Genomic DNA, 25,960 nt, shown 5'->3' with positions numbered 1-25,960 from the left:
ACTTTTAAAAATTGCAGGAGGAATTTTTTTTAATGCAGTTGTTTGTGAACCTGGTAATAAAGAAGCAGAATATTGTGAGAATAACTGAATCTTTTGATAATTGGGGACTTTAACGTGTCCCAGAGTTTTGCATTATTTTATACATTGAATATATAAAAGATTGGGTGATAGATAGCCTAACCTCACGATATATCCTTAAGTTTTTGTGTTTTTCAATAAATCCCTAGGACAAATATTTTTTTTCCATGAACACTCTCTTAAAATAAAGTCTACTATGCTTTGTCAAAGCTTTGATCAGATGAAAGCATTTATATTTCTGTTTATCCTCGTTTACCAAGATTAATAGGTTGCTAGAGGTCTGAGTACAGAGTTTCTCAGTCTTGGCACTGTTGATATTTGGGGCTGGAAAATTCTTTTCCAGGGCTGGGGAGCTGTTACAGGAATTTCTAACTCTAACAGATAGATGCCAGTAGCACCTCTCCCTCCCAGTTGTGAGAATCAAAAATGCTTCCAGACATTGCCAAATGTCCACTGAGGGGCTCAGATGACCTCAGGTGAGAACCATTGGTTTAGTGCAAAGTAATCTCCTTTAACTAGAGCATACTGGCCAGATGGATGCAAATATTACTGCTTGGTTAACCCATTTAAACAAAGTTAAATCTTGCCCAAATGAATGTAAAGCCCTCATTGATAGTTAAATGTATCTCACTGTTTGTCTTACTGCTAGATACTCTTGGCACATTCTGAATGAGGGAATCAGTGACTTCCTTATATAGGCAACAATTCCTGGGAAATCTCAATAAATTATCAGAAGAAATGCAAAAGAAAACAGTCTGCTGATTCAGCTTGTAAGTTTCCAGTGGTATCGCCTTACTTCCCAAACTAAATAATTCTCTGAGTCCTGTTCCATGATAGGATAGTGACTGTGGGTCAGTGCTGTTTATGTGGTTGTTGATACTCTTGTGCCTCTTTTAGATAGTTTTCTAAGAGACAAGACTTTTTTTTTTAATGACTGTTCCTCTCTATGACCCTCTGCCCCCTCAAGGATATCAGAGTTTTTGTCTTCAGCATTTTTCGGGTTATAATAAATTATAATTCTAAAAATTAGGCTGAAAAGAAAGCCTCAGGTCTTTTGAAAGGAGGCAGAAATAGAACTAGATAAGCCTTTCAAATAGTTGGTATGGAGTATGGAGTTTGTTTTTTTTTTTTAACAGAAAGAAAAGAAAAAAAGAGTGTAAAATGTGTCAGTGTAATACTCACTTCTGCTCTCCTCCTGCTTGAAAAGATCGCTGTAGTAATTAGAATCTCAAACGGACAGTCTTAGCATCTAAAGTTTGGGTGTACTTCTAGCAAACATGCATTGCACAAGATAACAATATAAATTGGCCTTCTGAAAGTAAACAAACCCAAAGAAATATACTAATGTTGGGCTGGGCGCGGTGGCTCACGCCTGTAATCCCAGCACTTTGGGAGGTCGAGGAGGGCAGATCACAAGGTCAGGAGATCGAGACCATCCTGGCTAACACGGTAAAACCCTGTCTGTACTAAAAATACAATAAATTAGCTAGGCGTGGTGGCGGGCGCCTGTAGTCCCAGCTACTCGGAAGGCTGAGGCAGGAGAATGGCGTGAACCCGGGAGACGGAGCTTGCAGTGAGCTGAGATCGCGCCACTGCACTCCAGCCTGGGCAACAGGACGAGACTCCGTCTCAAAAAAAAAAAAAAAAAAAAAAAAAAAAGAAACATACTAATATTGCAGTGTGCTTTGCTGATTTTAGAGAAAGGTGCTTTACACTTAGTTTGTTTAAGAGGAATACTGCTACTCAGCATGTTTTGCTTTCAGTCCAAATAGAGAATCCCTCATCAGAAACAGGCTTAAGTTTTTCAAATAGTTTACTTTTTTTAAAAAGTAGGTCTCACTTCTGCTTCCAGCCAATATGGAGTACAGTGACTAGATTTGCAGTCTCATCTTTAAAAAAACTTTTTAAAATCAGGACAAAACATACAAAAGAACAGTTTTCATGACAGTGGACATTAGACAATGGAAGATAGTGATTCCTGAGAGATAAGAAACAAATTAAATGAGCCCTATGATTGTCCTAGCTAAATGCCTTGAGAGGCATCCAGGCTGTGGCTCAGGGAGGGGCAAACCAGGAGATACCCAACAAACTTCTTGAGTTGAAGAGATGGAGCTGAGAGTCTTGGGAGACCAAGGAGGCTAAAGGTCATAGACAGAGTATCAGAGAAGTAAGAGTTGCAAAAAGACCCTCTGACATCTTCCAAGGATCCTCATTATGTATTCTGCAGGGTAGTGATTAGTGCACATATGTGAAGAAACTACTTGAGCCCTGGTGTGAGGGAGATACCCAAAAGATCATATGGAAAAGCACCTAGCACTTATACAGGACTTGGAAAACAATGCCTGTTTCCATCAGGCAGAATGGAAAACCTCATAAATCAAGGACACTGCAGAGAGTACTCAAGGTTCTTGCCTTAGTAAGGGAGGGTAATTAGCCCTTCATGAAACACTGTTCCAGTCTTGCCTAACAAATCTTAAAAGCAAGACTTGAAAGGAACAAATTTTTTCCAAGTCATTAAACTGCATCCCAGAACAAAGCTCAATAATATTTATGAGATTATAAAAATATCCAGCACTTAAGAAGTCAAATTTATGATATCTGGCATCCAATCCAAAATTACTAGACATAAAGAAAATCTGAGACATGGGACTCATAATGAAGAGAAAAATTAATCCAAATGGATAGGTACAGAGCTGAAACAGATCTTAGAATTAGCAGACAAGGGCATTAAAACGGTGATTTTTAACTGTATTCCATATTTTCAAAAGCTAAATTGATACCTGGAAGATTTTTAAAAATTCCAAATTGAACTTCTATAGAGGAAAATTACAATGTCTGAGATGAAAAATATGTTGAATGTGATTAATAACAAATTAGACATTGCAAAAGAAAATATTATAAATTTGAAGACATAGCAATAGAAATTATCCCAAATAAATGGAGAAAATTATTTTAAATGAATAGATCATCAGTGGACTTTGGAAGTAATTCAAGCTCCTAACATATGTGTAATTGGAATCTCTGAGAGGGAGAGGTAGACAGAAAAAAATATTCAAAGAAATAGAAAATTACCAAATTTGATAAAAACTATAAACCCACAGATCCAAGAGCTCAACAAACCCAAAACACAAGAAAAAAACATCAAGGTAAATCATAACTAAATTACCTAAAACTGATGATAAAAGAAAAACTTAAAAGCAACCAGAAGTAAAAGATATGTTATATATAGAAGAATTAAGATAAAGATGATAGCAGATTTGTTATCCAAAATGATGCAAGATGGGAGCCAGTGGAGCAGCATCTTTAAACTACTGGGGGTAAAAAACTCTTTAAACCTAGAATTCAATATGCAGTGAAAGTATCTTTCACATATGAAGACAAAATTAAGACTTTTAAACATAAAAAAGCAGCGGGAATTTATTATCAGTGGGCCTACAGTATAAGAAATATTTAAGAAGTCCTGTAGGAAGAAGAAAAATGATACCAGATACAAATGGATCTACACAAAGAAATGAAGGTCACTTTAAATGATAAATTTGCTATCTTTCCACATCCCATGAGTTGGAACATGAGGGTGCTCTGGATATGTGCCAAGACATGAAGAAGGACCAATGAAAAGGACCAGGTCCTTGAATTACTGAGGGGAATAGAGCAGCCTGGCAATCTGGATGACCCATCTAGGAACTATTATTGAAAGACAAATAAAAGTCTATGTTTTCAAAGTATCTATATTTTGCAGTTTTACTGATACTACCAATTGTTTCTTAATTAATACAATTATTTTTAAAGCTGTGAAGTTATGTCTGCTACATCAAGATCTTTAATTTACTTGGAATGTTTTTTCCACATAAAACAAAGTTGATCCAGAGCATTCTAATAAAAAAGACATCTTTTTCTCACTTATCTGAAATGCCAACTCTTTTATAAATCTAGCACCTACATATGCATGGCAGCCTTTCTGGGTTAAATGCTCCATTTGTCTATTTGTTTATATGATGCTATCCATGCACTAATTAGATATGTTTATGGTAGGGCAAATACTGTAACTTGTCATCTTTCTCAGATATATCTTGACTCTTTCTACCATACTGAATTTTCAAATAAATTTTAGAGTCAATTTTTTAAAAGTAGGTGAAAAGGTTATAAGGGGATGCAGCTAGGTCACATTAGTTTCAACCTATCTTTTTATGAGTTGATATATGCAGAAGTCTCCAGCCCCAATACAAGGGTTGTTCTCAGACTGACTTTTTTCCTTACAACCAGAGTGGCAAAGAGAGCCTGGTGGTGAAGGGGTGATATTTGGCTACTTGGTAGGCATCTAGGGGTCAGGTTTCCTCCCTCCAAGGAACACTCTACATTCCCCTAGAACTAAGGATATCATCTCCCACTTGTTATCCATTCGCTTCAGTTATTTGGTGTAGACTGTGTCAGTATAACCCCATTACTGTTATCGTGTTTAATTATATAACAACTGTACACTGAGAGCTTTTTCAAGGCATGGACCAGACAGACTAATCAGAGAGTAAATACACAGCACTTAATTTACTCTTCAGAATTTTTAATCAATGCCTATTGACTGTCTCAAGGGTTGAAGTCTCTATTTTAACTCCATTTTAAAATGGAGTTAAATGGGGAATTCAGCCAATTTATTCAACATTTATCACTAATGTTGAATACCTGCTTTGCTCTAGGTACTATACTAAATGTCGAATATTCAGCAGTAAAGAAATATATATACTATATACATGTATATAATATATAACTATATATTATATATATAACTATATTATATACATGTATATAATATATAACTATATATTATATATATAACTATATTATATACATGTATATAATATATAACTATATATTATATATATAACTATATTATATACATGTATATAATATATAACTATATATTATATATATAACTATATTATATACATGTATATAATATATAACTATATATTATATATATAACTATATTATATACATGTATATAATATATATAACTATATATTATATATATAACTATATTATATACATGTATATAATATATATAACTATATATTATATATAACTATATATTATATACATGTATATATTATATATAACTATATACTTTATACATGTATATAATATATATAACTATTATATATAACTATATATTATATACATGTATATAACTATATTATATATAACTATATGTTATATACATGTATATAATATATAACTATATGTTATATATAACTATTCTATACGTGTATATAATATATAACTATATATTCTATACGTGTATATAATATATAACTATATATTCTATACGTGTATATAATATATAACTATATATTCTATACGTGTATATAATATATAACTATATATTCTATACGTGTATATAACTATATATTCTATACGTGTATATAACTATATATTCTATACGTGTATATAACTATATATTCTATACGTGTATATAATATATAACTATATATTCTATACGTGTATATAACTATATATTCTATACGTGTATATAATATATACACGTATATAATATATAACTATATATTATATATAACTATATATTATATACACGTATATAACATATTTATATAATAATATAATATATTATATTATTATTATATTTATAGAATAATATATATTATTATATATATATAAATATATAATAATATATATTATTCTATAAATATAGAATATATATTATTATATATACTTATATATAATATATACATAGTATAATATATAATTTATATAATATATAATATATATAATTTATATATATTATATAAAATATATAAATTTATATATATTTATATAATATATATAAATATATATAAATATAAAAATATAAATATATATAAATTTATATATATAAATATATTTATATATATTATATACAATATAGTATACAATTATTAATAACTATATATAATATACATGTATATTATATATAGTTATATATAATATATAGTTATATATATTATATACATGTATATAATATATATAACTATATCCTTCTCTGATGGGAAAATCCAACATTTAAACAAAATAAACAGAAATATAAATATTTAATTTATAATTATGTTTAGTGCTATGAAAGGAACAAATAAGGTTTTATTTAAGAATAACTGGAGGGAGAAAGTGGAGAAAAATATACTTTTCAAGTTAGACCATATTACATACAGATGAAATCTGATTTAACCTGTAACATAACCAGATTTATGTAGCAAATTAAACATAAATTTTTTCATATACTTAATCTATTTATTTGTGTATTCAATAGCATTTATCTTCTTTGAGCCCTATAATGATCCAGCTATTAGGCTCACAAAAATGACCAGGACTCAGTTCCTGTCTTTGAGGAGCTCATAGTTTTTTTTTATTATTATTATTATTAATTAGCAGTGCCTTTCATTAAAATAATTGCATACCAAATGGAAACAAATATGTTCCTTTTCCTCTTTCATTCTTCTTTAGATGAGGATAGGAATTCACTCAGGCTCCGTGCTGGCTGGAGTTGTTGGGGTGCGAATGCCACGTTATTGCCTGTTTGGAAATAATGTCACACTGGCAAGCAAATTCGAGTCGGGAAGTCACCCTCGGCGCATCAATGTCAGCCCAACCACTTACCAGTAAGTGTTCTCTGGCCTCCTCCTTCCTGTCTTGGCCTTTGTTTTGGGCTGCTATGCTGTCATCTGTGAGTCCCTGTTCTTTTTCTTGATCCTGTCATTCTCCAAGATATTATGAGTAGAACTGCCCAAACCCAAAAGATAGATAGTAATTGTGACACAAACTTTTATTTGCACTCTGTGAGAGTGCATGAAAAATCTGACATGACTGAGAGGTGAATATAGGTTTGTCATTTCCCACAGTCTCTGTCCTTCTTAAGTATACCTGTTTAAAATACAGGAGAGCAAATGTTCTTAAGGATCTGCATTATAATAGAAATCTCAATATTTTCAAAATGTTTCTGTTTATAAAAATGGAAGAAATACAATAGAAAAGGTGGTTGGACTGTTTTTTTGAATAAATAAATAAAGTCTTTAAATTTATATATATATAAATTATACCTTACTCAAAATGCTTGGGACCACAAGTGTTTTACGGTTTGAAATTTTTTGAGTTTTGGAATATTTGTGCATATTACCTGGTGAGCATCCCAAATTTGAAAATCTGAAATCCAATATCTTCCAAAGAGCATTTCCTTTCAGTATCGTGTTGGTTCTCAAAAAGTTTCAGATTTTGGAGCATTTTGGACTTTGGGATTTTGAATGCTCTGCTATACCAGGTACAGAGTAAAACATTAAATTCTTTTTATCTTAAAGGTAATCTTTGACAACACTACACATTTTTGCCTCCTGAATTCATTCTTATTTTGTGTCTGGTAGAAATTTCCCCTATTAGATATTAAGCCCTGTATATGGGCAGCGACTGTGTCTCTCACAGTCATAATGATGAGTTTGGCTCATCATTATATCCCCAAACTTATAAAAATGTCTAGCCCATAATAAGCACTCTGTAAATATTTATCAAATTAATGAATAAATACATTGATAAGATGGACATTTTCAAAATTAACAGCAAAGAAAAGCATGAAAATGTCTTACTTTATCACACTTTGGCTTTATTCTGGGCATTACTGTACAGCTGCTTAATTAATTTCATGTTTTAGGTAACTTAGAATCATACTGAAAAAAATGTATAGTAGGAATAGTGGCCATTGATTTTTCTATTAACATGGTTACAAAAAACTCAAGCAGAAAATTTGAATATAAAGATAAAAGTTGACTATAATAATAAATAAAATAGTGATATTTTCAAACTTTTGATACCAAATTAGAGGGTAATTTGGTATCAGAAATTCCAGAGAGGGAATTTAAAGTTTTTAGATGAAAGCAGATACTTCCAGATTCTGCAAAATAGATGAGAAAGAAAACTGAAATTACAAATATAAAATTAAGAGAAAGTGCACATTAAAAATACATTTTAAAGCTCTTGCTAAGCTCATTAAAGTAGTGGATACCTTGATTTTACAGTTTTTGAATAAAGACACACCTCTTACTAATTTTAAGGAACCCAAGAGATTTTGAGGGCCTCACAGACAACTTCTGGACAAAGTTTCAGGATTCTATCTAATCATTACTTATCTAAGAACTATATGCTATTTTCAGGATATTTATAAGAGGATTTGCATCTTTTAAACTTCTCCCAATTTTCCCAACACAATTCTGGGCATATTACAGATGATCTGACAACAATTACCATGGCAAATTGAATTTTGTCAAATTCTCTAGTAGAGATCAGTGATTCTGATACTTTCTGCTCTATACGATGAAAAAAGTTACTGAAGATCAGCTACCTCACTCATATCCTATTACATGGTTCCATTTATTCCCATCATGGTATTGATACTTATTTTCCATGTTTGTGTAACTTAGTGTAGATTTATGTCTTCTGTGACAACTTCACTTAAAAAAAAAAAAAAAAGATGTGTAAAAGAATGGGCCCAACCTGTGTGAGGAGTTCATGCCCTGTTGCTTAGACATCATAACAGTAGCTGGCTTTGTTTACATAGTGATGTATTAAAAAAAAAAAAAACTCTGCCAGCCATACAAGTCTGTGCATTTTGGTGGTGACTCAGAGTTTTTGTAGTCTTTTTCACAGTTTATGATGATCCTTAGTGATTAACAAGGTCTGAGGAATGAAATCATTTCAACTACTGCATACACTGAAGCTTACTGTTGTGTTATTGTTCTGCACCTTCACCCCCAGGCCCCCCAAAATCAAACAGAGCCATAGATAGACACGTTGAGCTGACAGGTGGGTAGATTCTTAGAACAAATATAATTTATGAAGTAAAACCCAGTATTAAGCTCATGAGAGTTTGAAATCTCTATTTTATCCCTGAATTACATTCTGTAGAATGTCCAACATTACCTGTTTATCTTGAAAACTATATGATTATTATAAACTTTGGAAGTGGACTGTTTTGATATTATGATAAACTGAAATCATTTTTTGAATTGTTCATTCCAAATGCATTTTGTCTTAAATATTCAAATAATTGAATTTTAAAAATATTTTTGTAACTATTGTGGAGTACTGAAAAGATAATAAAATATCCATGATCCTACCATAGTTAAACACTTTATATTTTGCTTCAGATATTTCTTAATAAAAATGAACAAAACATTTTCTTTGTAATTTTCTCAGTCTTTCATTGTGACATCCTAATGAGTTTGGTGTGTTTCAAAGGCCCGTGTTTTGTTTTTCCTTCTTTTTTTTGAGACGAGTCTTACTCTGTCGCCCAGGATGGAGTGCAGTGGCACAATCTCCGCTCACTGCAACCTCCGCCTCCCGGGTTCAAGGGATTCTCCTGCCTTAGCCTCCCAAGTAGCTGGGACTACAGGTGCGTGCCACCACACCTGGCTAATTTTTTGTATTTTTAGTAGAGACGGGGTTTCATCTTTTTAGCCAGGATGGTCTCCATCTCCTGACCTCGTGATCTGCCCTCCTCGGCCTCCCAAAGTGCTGGGATTATAAGCCTGAGCCACTGCGCCCTGCCTCAGTCCCATGTTCTATATATTAACTTTCTACATATGTATCCATGAACAATATAATTTTATTTTACATGTTTTAATTTTCATAAATGGTATTTTACTGTATGACTGTTATCACTAACTTTGGTTTCTTTTAAACACAATTTAATACTTTTAAGATCTATCCATGTTGGAGCATCTTTCTTTGGAAATTCCAAAGAAAGAATGGGTTTGGTAATTTGGTCGAAGGTGCATTTTGAGCTGTAACTAAAAGCTGAGATAGTAATCAGTTTATTCCTATGTGTTTTTATTAACAAAAGTCCCTTACTGATGACTGTCTAAATCATAGACAGCTCTAGCTCATCATTTTAATCGCTGTATGACATTTCAGTGTATGACTCCACCATATTTTAATATTTCATACATATATTCCTCTGTTGATCAACACTTCGGTATATTTTCTATTTTTTAATTATCACAAAGTTTGTTCCTGTGAACATTATTTACATGACATTACAAAAAAGAAATTTTTATTGAGTTTTAAGTTTTCCAAATTAGACATTTTCATTTTTCTTCAATAAATGTGTTTACACACATTTTTGTTCCCATCATCCCAATGATGGGATAAGTTTTTTATGGGATATGGATTTTAAATAGTGCACATAATATATGCACCATTAATATATGCACTTTAAATAGTGCATATAATATATATATCATATATACTAATATTACTTTACTGCATATAATATATATTTTAAAATAATGCATATATTATAAACAACTGTCTTAACATCATGCTGCTGATCTATAAAACAGAAATAATTGCTTATATGAAGGATGGCTTTAGCAAATTTTGAAATAAATGATTTATCTCAGCATAATTATTTTTTCTTGCTACAGTGCAAACTAAAAGTGTAGAAAGACTTGAATTACTTTGGTATGAAATTTTTCTTAATCTTTAAACATTTTTGCTTTTCTCATTTTACAATTGATCTACTTCCAGATGTTTTAGAACGCCTATTTTTAATTGACTGTGAAAGGCTTCTTTCTGTTAAAACCAAGCTTCTTCCTAACCACTGCTACCTGAACAGCTCATTGTATGAGAGCATGTACAGTCGAGCAGATTAGGCAGTGGTGAAGTGCATGAGCTCAGAATCAAAATGCCTAAGGTAGAATCCAGGCTCTAAATTTTCCTGTCTACATGAACTTTAGTGACTTAATTTCTTTGGACCAAGTTATCTCATCTCTAAAATGGGTACATGTTTATGAAGATTATTGTTGGCATTTAATGTGATATTTTTAAAGCTCCTTATACTTGGAACATATTAGACATTCATTTACTGCTTCATCCTGTTCTTTCCATGGAGGAAGAAACCATCTTATTCCTTCACTTGAATCTCATAATTTATAAATTTAGCCATGATGAATGATGTGTGCTAGTAGGATTACAGACCTCATCTGGAAATTTGAGAGAAAGAATGGGTTTGGTAATTTGGTCAAAGGTGCATTTTGAGCTGTGACTAAGAGCTGAGATAGTAATCAGTTTATTCCTATGTGTTTTTATTAACAAAAGTCCCTTACTGATGACTGTCTAAATCATAGTCATATGATTAAAAATTGGCTGTGTACATGGGAAATTCCCAAATTTAAGCTAAGGTACATAATTAATTCAATTAATCACATGATTAATTGAATTATGTACCTCTGCTTAAATGTGGGAATCATATATGTATATCTATATACATATGATTACTAAGTAATCATTACTTAATAAGTAATCATATATATGTATGTAATCGTATATATAGTATATAATTAATCTAATTAGTAAGTAATCATATATATGTGATTGCTTACTAATTAGATTAATTACTTACTGTTGGCTTCAACAACACAAACATTATTTTATAGTTCTATAGGGCACAAGTCTGACACAGGTCTCACCTAGCTAAAATCAGCGTGGGCGTCATGAGGCCTTCATTCTTTGCTGAAAGTTCTAGGTGATAACATGCTTTCTTGCCTTTTCCAGCTTTGAGGCCACTCTCATTCCTCTGTTCAGAACCTTCTTCTTCCATCATCAAAGCCAATAATAGTTCATCTTTCTAATTCTACTTCTATCATCACATATCTTTTACTGACTCTTCCTCCCTCTTCTACTTTTAAGGACTCTTTTGTGATTATGTCAGGCCCACTGGATAATCCATGGTAATTTCTCTATTTTAATGTCATCTGATTAGCAATCTTAATTCCATCTGCACCCTTAATTCATCATTGCCATGTGTATTAGTCAAGGTTCTCTAGAGGGACAGAACTAATAGGATAGATGTATGTATAAAGGGGAGTTTATTAAGGAGTATTGACTCACAGGATCACAAGGTAAAGTCCCACAATAGGGCGTCTGCAAGCTGAGCAGCAAGGAGACAGTCCAAGTCCCAAAGCTGAAGGACTTGGAGTCCAATGTTCAAGGGCAGGAAGCATTCAGCATGAGAGAAATACGTAGGCCAGAAGACTAAACCAGTCTAATCTTTCCATGTTCTTCTGCCTGGTTTTATTATGGCTGTGCTGGAATAGATTAGATTGTGTCCACCCAGCTTGAGGGTGGGTCCGCCCTTCCCAGTCCACTGACTCAAATGTTAATCTCCTTTGGCAACACTCTCAAAGATACACCCAAGAACAATACTTTGCATCCTTCAATTCAATCAAGTTGACACTCAATATTAAACGTCATACCATGAGACCTAACATATTCACATTTTTCAGGGATTGGGATGTGGACATCTTGGGAGGTGGGGGTTATTCTTCCTACAAGAAGGGAAAATTTAAATGCTAAAACCTGCCTGGAAATATAGCCCCAATCTTACTTCTGCATACTTGTCTTTGAGGATTTGAAAAAAAAAAACCATATAAATTATGTAAGCAAAATCTAGGGAGGAAAAAGAACTTTCACAAATGAGACCTCTGGCCTGTAAAGGATTTTTACTGGGACTTAAGATATAGATTCCTGAAGACAGGAATCTAGTGTAGGACTGAATGATATTTCTATATTTAAGAAGCAGTAGAGCCCTTGGCTTGAGAAGACTAAGAAGCTATCCTGAGAAATAAGCAGTTTTTATAAAGATGACTGCAGTCCTCTCACTGCATAACCTGCCCTCAGACACAGATACCCACATATCATCTCTTACAAAACTCAAGAAGTTATAATATTTAATTTCTCTTTAGACCTCTAGCACCAAGTTTAAAATTGCACAGACCACATTTTTGTGCAAGAGTTTGATACAGTGCATAATTCCTACCCTAGGAATTAAGAGAACTGCATCTAATATTGGTTAAGCTATTTGATGTCCTAGATGAGCTCTCATGCATCTTTTAGCTCCAATATCTCATCATAGTCACAGCAAACATTTATTGAATTACTGACAATTTATTTATATTGTCATTTAATCCTTACAGCAAGAGTGTGAGTTCTGAATTGTGATTATCTTTGTTTTTCAGATGAGAAAAACTGAAACTTAGGTTAAATAAGTCACTAAGAACATTGAGCTAAATAAGTGCGGGAGTCATAATTCAAACCCGTAGCTGCCCTACTCTAAAGCCTGAGATCTTATCTGTGGCCAAGCTGTCCCATGGGTTGATAACTACTTGAAATAACATGGAAAAAAACAATAATTACTTTTTAAATTTTTTAGCTGACACATTATAGTACATGTTTATAGGATACAGAGTAATATTTTGATAAGTGTTTACAATGCATAATGATTAAATTAGGATAATTAGCATAACTATCACCTCAAACATTTATCATTTCTTTGTGTGAGGAACATTCAAACTCTGCTCTTCTAGCTTTCTGAAAATACACAATAAATTATCATTAACCCTATTCACCCCAAGTGCTACAGAACACCAGAATTTATTCCTCCTATCTAGCTGAAATTTTGTATCTGTTAACTTCTCTACATTGTCTCCTCCCCCTTACCCTTCCTAGCCTTTAATACCCACAATTCTACTCTCTACTTTTATGAGCACAAATTTTATTTTTTTAAAGACCCATTAATTTCTGAATATTACTAGCCTCGATGAGAGGATTTCTTCTGCAAGAAAATGGTGAAGAGAGCAGTGGGGAGCAAAGTGGAATTACAGCAAGGGAGATTCGTTTTCTCTTTGTAGATATAATGCCCTCAGGTTGAACTTTTGCTATTCTGGAGTTGTTTTTATACTCAGGATAATAAAAAGGAAGGATATTATTTCTAACGTGTTTATTTGGAGTGTCTGTATTTCTAACTATATTAGTATCTCTGTCTCTAGCTCTGAAATGAACATGAGTATATGGGACAAACTTGTGGCAAGTGGAAGCTTCCAAGTGAAAAAAAAAATTGTCTGTTGCCTCTGTGAGGCTAAAAAACATTTTGTATAAGCATGTCTCTAATGCATATAATAATTTACTGGGAATATAGGCTTGCTTTTAGGAATTTACTTTATAAACAATTTGGAGGAATGCATATCTTTCTGGTAAATTCAGAGAAAGACGAATGGAATAATTGAAGAATGATGACATTCCTTGGGTATAGTTTTTATTTCATTAAACTATACCTTCGATATAGTTTAATAATCAGTAATACTAGTCAAAAACACTAGCTAGAAACTCTGCTTCTGTTCCTTTGTCAATATAATTATTATACAAGGATGAGATACTATGTTATAAATATTTACTCTTCTTCCTATGGACGCTTAATGTGGGGAAAGATCCAAAGAAACTTCAAGAAATTCTTATCTAGTAGTTTTTCTGTAGCCTTTTCTTAAAAAAAAAAATCAACATGCTCATCTGCACTAGTGATTTGATATTTAAAAATAAAAAGTATTCGGGCTGGCATGCTACTATCCTTCAGTCTTTTAAATAACTTTATTAATCATCTTATCCTTTTCTCTATGGAAGCACCAAAACAGTAAACATATTTTACAAAAGAAATATAATCAGTAAAGACAAATGACTTAGTAGTTTTCCCAAAAGGATAAACTGGAGCGGTGCCTCAAGAATTACATTTCTATTTTTCCAATTACAAACAGCAACATTAATATTACCCTTTTAAATGTGCCAATAAAAGTCATATCTAGCACAATTGAATGAGATATTCTACTCATTTCAATACTTCTTTTTACTATCTCTTTCTTTGTCTCTCTGCTATATATCAAAAAGCATTTTCCCCAGAAAATGTAATTCTGTGGATCAGGAATCTGATGCCTTCCCAATTTTTTAAAAATAAGTCTGTCTTTTTTGGGGGTAGGGGGATTTTAGAATATTCCACTTCAGTCATTCCATATATTTACCAGCATATTTAAGGCCATTGCAGTGAAGTCTTTAAAAATCAGAATATAATGTTGCAGTTATTTTTACAGTAAAAATAGTAAAAACTTACCTATTAGCTTACTCTTAAAGGTCTAATTGCTAAAATTTGTAAGAATCAATGAGAAAATATATAATTATGTACTTTGCAAAAGTGGTTGGTTGTTTTCATAGATATGAAATGAAGAGTATGTCTGGAAATTTAAGACATATTTTTCCCTGGGAGGCCGAGGCGGGCGGATCACGAAGTCAGGAGATCGAGACCATCCTGGCTAACATGGTGAAACCCCGTCTCTACTAAAAATACAAAAGAAATTAGCCAGGCGAGGGGACGGGCGCCTGTAGTCCCAGCTACTCGTGAGGCTGAGGCAGGAGAATGGCGTGAACCTGGGAGGCGGAGCTTGCAGTGAGCCGAGATGGCGCCACTGCACTCCAGCCTGGGCGACAGACCGAGACTCCGCCTCAAAAAAAAAAGAAAAAAAAGAAAAAAGACATATTTTTCTTTATGATTTAGTTTATTATTTGGCATAGGTTTGGCTTATATGATTAGGCATAAGATTAAATCTAGAAGTAAAGTTTTGCTGTTTTTCTTTAGGTCCCATTCCTAACTAGTATGAAGGGAAAGCTTGGTGGTTCTCTCTTCTCATGACGGCAGGGCTAAAAAGTTAATTACCTAGTTCCAGGATTCAGAATTTAAAGGCATTAATCTGGTATTCATGTCGATAATTCCTATTTATATGGGAGACATCTGTTAATTTCACACACAGAAAGAATTTCCTTGAAGTATAAATACTGTGATTGGCAACTCTGCTTAAATGTGGGAATCATATACATAAATATATGTCATAAATAACGTTTACAAAGAATGCCAAGCTTAAGTAAATTTTCCACATTATCTAAAATACTATAAGGTGAAAATTAGTTACTAAGGTAATTAAGCATGATTTAAAGCAAAAGAAAAAGTCACTCCTTACATTTTCCTTTCCCTTTCTCCATTAAAAATGGCACCATTTCTAGTGGCCTGGAGGTCAATATTTATTTTGTAATTAACACAGCTTTAATAATCCTTTCTGAAGGTTCTTTTAGATGTCCACAGTTTAGCTAAAAAGGCCAAGTTCTTTAGAAAAGTAAGTGTTAAACATGTTTGGCTGTGGAAACAATTCAAGTAATATCTAACTCAAAATCCAAGGTAGAACATAGATAAAAGTATTACTGTTGAGGATTTTGGGGGCTGCTGTTACATTTAAGCCTTATGATTAGTGTGTTTATGAAGCATTTTCTTTGCATACTCACATGTGCTTGTTTCTGGAAAGAGTTTTTTTTAATATTCTCATCAGATTTCAAAATGGACCGTGATTCAGAAAATATTAAGAATCACTACTGACTGATTAAATAAATGAATGACCAAATAAAATAATGTGAATTTCATATTCCTGTTCTGCCACTAATTAGTTTATGGCCCTGGATAAGCCACATAAATGATCTCATCTTTCATGTACTTATAAACTAGGTTAGGTCTAGATAATTCTACAAATATTTTGTACTAAATCCTGGAACAGAAAAAGTAGCATTAATAGAAAATCAGTGAAATCTGAATAAAGTCTGTAATTTACTTAATAGTAATATACCATTGTTAATTTCTTAGTTTTGACAAATGTACCCAGGTTAAGTGGAATGTTAATATTAGATGAAATTGAGTAAAGAATATAAGAGAACTCACTTCTTGCAGAACTATACTATATATCTTTGCAATTCTTCTATATTATCTTTGCAATTCTTCTATAAATCTAACATTATTCCAAAAAATGCTTATTTAAAAAATTATTATAGTTCTGACATCCAGACCAGGCACAGTGGCTCATGCCTGCAATCCTAGCATTTTGGGAGTCTGGGGGAGAGGATCACTTGAGTTCAGGAGTTTGAGACCAGTCTGGGCAACACAGTGAGACCTTGTCTCTACTAAAATTAAAAAAAAAAAATCCCCAGACATGGTGCATGTGCCTAAAGTCTCAGTTGCTCAAGAGGCTGAGGCAGGGGGATCACTTAAGCCTAGGAGATGGAGGCTGCTATAAGCCGTGATCACACCACTGCACTCCAGCTTCAGCAACAGAGTGAGACCCTGTCTAAAAAAAAAAAAAAAAAAATTCTAACATTCAGTGAAAGCTGTAAATTTATTTTCAACTTACATAACAGAGGATCTTATATATTATTAGAGACCCACTGAATGTTTTTGAGCCTGGAAACAACATGATCAAAGAAAAGCTTACTTGGAAGTGATGTTCCACAGGGAGTGGAGTAGGGAACACCTAGAGGTGAAATGACCATAAGAGAAGAGGTCATTGTTGTTCCAAGCCTAAGGTACAGTCATGAACTAAGGCCATGATCATGGGAATAGAGGTATAGAAGGTATGAAAAAACTTTAAAGAAATAATTGACAGGGCTGACTGGGCAAAAACACATAGCCATTCTATATATTGTATGGTTAATACTGTGCCTTGAAATTGGAAAGCCATATTTATTCACTCTCAGAATTAATGCCTTATGAATATATTTTTAACTTTAAAGTTCTTACTTTTAGGTTTAGCATGTAATCAAGCCTCTATATCGTTTTAAATTTCTCCTTTTTTCTAATTGTGTGTACATTGTCCTTTGAAGGAAATGGCAAAATTTTATATTATATTGTTTGTTCGTATATGGTACTATGTTGTATTAAGGAAATATGTTTGTTTCAAATCCTCTCAAAACAGGAAGGTAGACTTTTGGAAGTCTAACTTCCAAAAAGCTGATCATGAATTGTATTATTTAAATACATTTTAATATTTAATAAAATACAGCATGTTTGGAGTATTCGTTTTTAAACTAGAGAATTGAAACCAGTCTTAACTGGGCCTTAATCTTTTAGCAGTCAGTTCTTCCCACTGCTCTTTTGTGTGAAACACTGTGCATCAGGAAAAATCTGATTGCTCTAAATGCTATGTTAAGAATCCTTTCTGCAGCTCTTATTAAAGTGCAAAGATTCTCATGCATTAGTCACCTATTACTAAATCAAAATTGCTTTGTAATCAGTTTTTGTGATATTAGCCAACATGACAGTGTTTCCTCTGGAGATCTTACTTGAAAATTTTTCAGATTTGCAAGTCTAAAACTAACATGTTTGATCACGCTGCTTTGTATGATCCTCTATAAACTGAATACTTTATAAATTCTCAAGCTTCCCTAAATGTTAGAGCTGTAACTAATCTTTGAAATAAATTAGAGTAAAATCTTTCTTTTTCCACAAGGAAATTAAGAAACCAGAGAATTTAAGCGACTTAACTAATGCCATCAACTAATTTGTCTCTATCTAACCTGTATGGGGGAAAGAAAAACTCTAAAATGTAAGAGATTAGATATACTGAGCCTACCTATACCTCTTCTCCTCTCTTAGTTTCTCTCCACAAAAATGAGTATTTCTGAGAAGCATAATTTTAGTGGAATTTGCAAGGAATATTTTCTATAAAACATTGTTCATATAAGAAGTCGGTTGAACTCTTAAAGAAAAGGAAAAAAGTATGCCCTTTTTTTAGCCTCCAAATATTTTCCTAGGTTGATTTGCCTTCTTGGGGGCTGAAGTTATTAAAATTTGCATGATCTCCTTAGAATACATTTAGGCTAACTATTTCTGATTGGTTGAATAATATAGAAAATAGAGAACATAGAATTCTTAAGTCTAGGAATCTAATTTGGTACTAATTTTTAAGTAATGAAATCAACTAATATTAATTTTTAAAAATAATTGTGCATATTTTCTTCTTTCCACTTCTTTATCTTTTATACAGAAAGACCAGCACAATGATGAACTTGTTTTTAAGAAAGACTTTTGGTCAGAGAAGTGAAAAATGTGAGGAAATTATTTAACTTACAAGAACTGGTTACAGTTATCTTTTCTAATCTCTCACTTATCTCTTTTTAAAGTTCTGTCTATAGACATATCAAACTTTTGCATGAATGTTTTAAAGTTTAAATTCCTTGACATTTACTAGAAGTGGAGTTTTTAGGCTGTTAAAGGTCAAAATTGACAGGGTCCAGAGAAGTCAATGGGGTAGAATGATCTTTAGTTATTTAGCATCCTAAAATTCAAGAATGTAAAGGGCATTAGTTTTGCCACTCAAATAGGAACATCCCAGAAGATGTACACTCTCTAGCAGGTATCAGGTATGCAGAGTATGAACCTATACTTAAGCACACTTTGCCATCAGTACCTACTCCTGGGGTGGGTTGCAGAAAAAATGTGCAGGGGTGTCGCTGAAGTGCCTCTGAGACTCTCTGCCTTATCATTTTCAGGGGACATACAGGAAGGCTATCCCTTTAGGAGAACTTATTGGCCTGAATTTTAGATCCCACAGATTGCCTCAAATTATAAAATTACCTCAACATCTACAAGTAAAAATATTTGCAACCTTAAAACGCATAAACATTTGGTGAGATCCTTTTTCTGTTTTATTTCATCATGAGCTAGATTCTTCCTTTCCTTATTTGGAAAGGTGTATTTCCAGAGAATGAATCACTGCATTTCAGGGGATTTCAGGCTGTCTAGCCGACTCAATAACAACAGTTCCATTGGACCTATCTTCAGACTGCATCAGATCTTGGAGCAGTGAAGCACAAAGCAGAAATACAGGGCAGAGTTCCTTCCTTTCTTCCACTCAAGTAGAAAGAAGAAGGTAAATAGGAAAAATTCAGGAACTTTACAACACTTAGGAAAACATAATGTGTCTTGATGTCTTTTATTTTCATCTTTCAGAACCGTCGTCCTTCTCCTACACCCAAAAATGCAGTGCCCAATGCTATTACAATAGAATCCAAATGCATTCCTTAGCAAAAAAAGATATTCAGATGAATAATTTGTAACAACAGAAATTTCTAATTAAGCAAATTGAGGCCCTGAGTTTATCATTACCCTTTTCGGAAGTTAATAATTAATCTTTTTTGAAACGACAACAAAATGGCTTCCAGATATCACTCAGGTACACACTTGCCACCGTCCTCTCTTCCATTTTGTTGGAACAAAATGACATATACACATACAAACACACAAAGACTGGAAGAGGATTTAAAAATGGAAGAGAGGAAGGTGGTAAGTGTATGCCTGAGTGATATTTGGCTTAATGTCTAAAAGAAAGCTGAAGTCTCAGGTCCTACAGAAGAGGGAGTGGGTAAGAAGCAAGTATATTCACTCTAAATCTAAATATCAGCCTGTTTACATGCACACATGCATGCACACACACCCAACCTAATTAGGAGGATAATCTAAAACATCCAAAATATGACCAAAAGAGATTCCAGAAAAAGTACAAGGGTAGAAAATACTCTAGGGTATTTTAAGTCAGAAGATATACAGGGAATAATGTGCTTACAGAATCATGAGAAGAGATAAAAATCAGGTTCTAAGCTGGATATCTTGAAATGATACCCATAAAATATAGAACTGGCCAGGTGCACAAGCTCCTACCCCTGTGCTCACCACGGGAACTGTAATAGTCTAGGTCAGGAGCCGTGGCCACAGCCATACCAGCCTTTGGACGTCAGGAAACTGAAAAATGGATGCCTAAATATGCATTCCCATGATTATGAAGTTAGATGTTAGACTAACGTGTCACCAGTACTGGGCCATTTTCTTGACACTTAGGAAGCTAAAAACTGGAGCCTGCTTCTGCAAAACTCCAATATCAATAGTCACTGTTAATGGTCAGTTGCCAAGGGAAACGGAATCTACTTCACTTCTGCCATTCAAAACTTTGTCAGGTCAATCTTATTTTAGGAGCCTAATAATTACTCAGAACCATAGTAGCTAGGGAAATTGGGAAATGTAGTTTCAAGCTGGGTAGCCATGTACTTTTGTAGAACTTTATTACTAATAAATAAAGGGAGAACAAATTTTGGGTCACAGCTAACTCTAGAAAGATATGAGAGGTTTGTTCTCCTGAGACATTGAACCAGAGGAATTCTAAATTCAGGAAGGTAAATATGGGAGGATTAAATAAAAGTCTACATTCATAACAGTGAGATTCCCAGGTTATTTCCTAAATTCAACTTCCAGAATGCTGGAATCCAGGTGTAATCCCATAGGAATGATTGGAATATTGTTACTTGGACAAACTGGACCAAAGGAAAAACAGTAAATATATTGATATTTGGGAACCCTAATGAAATGGTCAGGGTAAACCTACAATTCAACATTATTTTGCTACACACAAAACTTCTAACCATGTCATAATGACTTATACTTAAATAGAAAGATATTTACAGACATTAGTAATTTGTTGAATGCCTTGACATGAAAAAAGAGACCAAAACAAAAAAGCAAACAACAAAATCTAGTCAATTAATATCTAGAGGAAAAAGAGACAATATAGAGAACTAAAGAAAACTATAAAAAGATGATTAATATTCTCATAGATTTAAAATAGTAAGAACACAACATAAGAAAAAATAATCATACCACAAGAGTGGAAATTAAAATGAGATATCTGAAATTTTAAAATTCTTTATGTGTTGGGAAATAATGTTGGATGCAATCTTCCAGAAAATAGAATGTTTTAAAATGAGGGAATAATTCGAGAAAAAGGAAAACAAATTAGAAGATTAATTTACCAGGTCAATGTCTGACTAAGCCAAAATGCATAAAAAGAAAACATATAAAACAAGGCATACAAAATTATTAAATAACTTTTTAAAAATTCCTAGAACTGAAAGACATAGTTTGCTACGTCAAAAGGTTCAAAAGGATCCACTAATTGTCATTGTACCAAATAAAAAAGATGCACTTAGCCATATTATTATTAATTTTCACAATACCAGAGATAGAAAGACGACGATGATGATGATGATGATGATAAAAAAGACTAGGAGAAAATTCACATGCCCAGGATTAAAAAACAGAATGACATCTTACTTTTTAACAGCCAAATACTGAGGAGAAAGTCAATTCTAAAGAAGAATTTAATACCTAATTAAACCAATCAAGTTGAGAGAAGAATGAACTAAAGATATTTCCGACATCTAAAGTCTTTAAAATGTCACTGTCCTCATATCTTTTCTACCCCTCTACAAGATGCATCAGATTCTACTGCCTCTTCCTTTGCCCTTCAAGTATCGCTTGGTGAGCAGTAGCTGGGTAGTGAGTAGACAAATTTGTGATTACCCCCTGGTAGACAGCATTCTGAGAATGTCACTCTCTTATAGCTCTGCACATTACACAGATCTTTCCAGTTGTTGAAACAAACAAAAGATTTTCCAATTTCACACAGTGATTTCAAACGTGCAGATGTCAGAGAGCTATATATACTAGTCTGCCGCTATTAGAGGCTGGAACTGGATCTATTCATTTCAGCAAGGTTTATTCTGTCCATGGGGTTGTCCAGGGGGCAAATTCGCAAATAAAAATAATCACTTTATGGAAAGACATTTTCAGCAAAACTCAAAATTCTCTTGTTTCCCTCTCAGTCTTCTCCTGTCCCATACATATTATCGTCAGAGATAGGAAAGTATCGGTTCAGGCCTAGCTCACAGAAGGCACTTAATGATTACCTGTTGACCAGTTGACTGCTGAACTCACTGACCCTTTTTTAAAATTCTGTGTTTTGTGTTAAAATTTGAACTACATTTAGATCATTTGTACTTCAGTATGAATAAGTGTCAGACCCTTTCCCAAGGTAGGATGTAGGACAGAGCACAGAGCTTGGTGAAAATTGGAGGAAATGAGCATAAAAACAAGAGGTGAGAGAGTCAGAAACCAGCTTCATTTCTGCAGCTGTGATGGAGAAGCTCCATGGACCTCCATGGAATCAAGCTTCCTGCACATGCTTGGGAGCCATCCATTGATCCAAAGCAGCAGTGGATTTTTATTTTGAAAAACAATTTGTAGAAAAAACTGTTGAGCAGAGAAAGGGTGACAGGCAGGTAAACTAGGATTTGTGTGATTTCCAAATGCTTATTAAACATGTTGCCAAAACTCCCAGAGTGTGTAACAACCAGCTGGGGATTACAGCTGGGGATTAATTTAGAGGATTAATTTAGATTTATATAGAATCTAACCTTCCATATCAGCCCTGAGGTGCTAAAGAAATGGATTGTTAGGCAGAGCTTTAGAGCCAACCCAGGGACTTGGACTTAATAAAGCATTTCAGAGGGGATCCTAGGCTCTGGGATGATCAGGTTCTAAATAATTCCTAATCCTTGTATACATTTGATTGCTTACTCAGTTTCAGCACCATGACTCATATCATCAACAGGCATGCTGTGTGAAATGATTCCCCTGACCTCCTCCACAAACCCCCCAGTAAGTCATTCAGATTGTCCTATTGGAAGTCAACTGAATATTGCACTTCAGTGTTCTTATCTACAAAGTCTGCTGTAATAAATACTGGATATCATAGGAGCTTGAATCAATTTATCCTTATGTGCTCTCATTTTTACTATTGAAATTTAAAACTGTATTTAGTTTATGGATACCAAAATGTTTACTGGGAAAAGCAAATACCATTTCATAAAAACTGTTGTCTCTGTAATTTCTAGCAAAGTACATGAGATCTATTTAAAATGTCAAGAGATCAATTCATTGTGAAAAGTTTCCTCCCAGCCAATGTGCAGTGAATTATTTAAAAGTTCTGACATCTGAAGCAGCTGGTACCATCTTCTTTCAGTCATTTACAAGTACCTTCATAGATCTAACCCCATTTTTGTTTTGGGTTGAAAAATCTCAATTATAGCAAAACAAAGATCTTGGTGAGACAAACTGTAAACGATACATTTGAGGACTTAAAAGATAGGGAGAAGAGAGTGTAGCTCATGTGCAGTCCTAATTGTTGATTATGGGCTTTAAGGAAACTTTGTGGAAAGACTGAACTATGGCTATATGTGGTTCTTAACTTTTGTACTTAAATCCATAGTCATCATCTCTCCCTTTCTCCTGTAGAATTTCTTCCTTTAGATTGTATCAGATGTTGTATCATTGTATTGCTAATTTGTTTCAATGAGCATTTCTTGTCTTTTTAGTTATATTAACTTATTCTGCAAGTCCCCACTTACTCGTCTCCATTCAGAGGACTATTTACAATGTCATAACCACTAAAAAAAAGTTTGATTGATTGACATCAATGATTGACACCTATATATTACACATTGATGACTGTTCTATTTGAGCTTAGCAAAATTGTTGTGGAATTCACTGCTAAATTAAAACTGCTGTATAGAGCTTTTTACATTTTATTTCTGAAGTGACTGATTATATATTAATAGTAAAGAAAATTGACATTTGTGAAAATGAAAGTAAAAAGTACTGATGACTTCCATTCTTATTGTCATTAATTATTTCTTAGTTTAGTTGTTTTGTGATGGAGAGCTATCTTACGTAGTCTTGTTATTTATTGTTGGGCTAAGCTTGACTGTGTTTACAGGTCTAGGTTCCAGTTCCATTGTCACTACTGTCTTGCTGTTTCCTGGAGCAATTCAGTCTAACTTATTCTGAACTCATTTTCACCCTCTATAAATTTGGTGGAGATGAGCATTTTTCAGCTTTTAAGTTCAGGGGTACAAGCACAGGTTTGTTACATACAAATGTATATACATACTTACATACATTTGTAAATGAGTGTCATGGGGGTTCGTTGTACAGATTATTTTATCACCAAGGTATTAAGACTACTGCCCATTAGTTATTTTCCTGAACCTCTCCCTCCTCCCATCCTTCACCCTCCACCCTCCAAAAGGCTCCAATGTGTGTTGTTCTCCTCTATGTGTCCATGTGGTCTCATCATTTAGTTCCCAATTATAAATGAGAACATACAGTATTTGGTTTTCTGTTCCTGCATTAGTTTGCTAATGATAATGGCCTCCAGCTCCATCCATGTTGCTGGAAATGACATGATCTCATTCTTTTTTTATGGCTGCATAGTATTCCATAGTCCGTATTTACCACATTTTCTTTATCCAGTCTACCACTGATGGACATTTAGGTTGATTCCATGTCTTTGCTATTGTGAATAGTGCTGCAATTAACATACACATGCATGTGTCTTTATAATGGAATGATTTATATTCCTCTGGGTATATTCCCAGTAATGGGATTGCTGGATCAAATGGTATTTCTGTCTTTAGGTCTTTGAGGAATCTCCACACTGTCTTCCACCATGGCTGAACTAATTTACATTCCCAACAACTGTGTATACATGTTCCTTTTTCTCCAAAACCTTGCCAGCATCTGTTATTTTTTTACTTTTTTTTTTTTTTTGAGACTGAGTCTCGCTCTGTCACCCAGGCTGTAGAGCAGTAGTATGATGTCAGCTCACTGCAACCTCCACCTCCCGGTTCAAGTGATTCTCCTGCCTCAGCCTCCTAAGTAGCTGGGATTACAGGGGCGCACCAACATGCCCGGCTAATTTTTTTTGTATTTTTAATAAAGATGGGGTTTCACCATGTTGGCCAGGCTGGTATCGAACTCCTGACCTCGTGATCTGCCCACCTTGTGAGCCTCCCAAAGTGCTGGGATTACAGGCGTGAGCCACCGTGCCCGGCCCTTGGCTTTTTAATAATAGCCATTCTGACTGGTGTTAAATGGTATCTTATTGTGGTTTTGATTTGCATTTCTCTAATGATCAGTGATGTTGAGCTTTTTTTCATATACGTGTTGGCTTCATGTGTGTCTTATTTTCAGAAATGCCTGTTCATGTCCTCTGCTCACTTTTTAATGGGGTTGTGTTTTTTTCCTGTAAATTTATGTTTCTTATAGATGCTAGATATTAGACCTTTGTTGGATGCATAGTTTATACTTTTAGCTTTTGCATACAACTATATTATGTGAATAAAATGGGATAAGGCTTTTGAAAGAATTTTGAAATGTTAGAAGGAGACTTGTTTTTTATATACCGAATGAATATCATCATTTTGTGGTTTTTTTTAACTGCCATTATATCCTTTAGCAATCAAAATACTATAGCTCTAGTTTTTAAAA

The 25,960-nt window shown here is 33.6% G+C and overlaps 1 protein-coding gene across 2 annotated transcripts in view; it reads left to right on the top strand.

Annotated features, from left to right (window-relative positions):
- The window catches only part of GUCY1A2 (guanylate cyclase 1 soluble subunit alpha 2), a 344,458-nt gene that overhangs the window by 303,243 nt on the left and 15,255 nt on the right, over window positions 1-25,960 (top strand). For both annotated transcript variants that reach the window (NM_000855.3, NM_001256424.2), the window contains one exon: window positions 6,568-6,722. In NM_000855.3, coding sequence (NP_000846.1) covers window positions 6,568-6,722 — 155 coding nt within the window. The remainder of the gene's footprint in view (window positions 1-6,567; window positions 6,723-25,960) is intronic.

The sequence above is a fragment of the Homo sapiens genome, chromosome 11 (assembly GCF_000001405.40).
Source record: "Homo sapiens chromosome 11, GRCh38.p14 Primary Assembly".
Classification (NCBI taxonomy): Eukaryota; Metazoa; Chordata; class Mammalia; order Primates; family Hominidae; genus Homo; species Homo sapiens.
The sequence above is the reverse complement of the archived record's forward strand: the minus strand, read 5'-3'. Positions and strand labels throughout refer to the sequence as shown.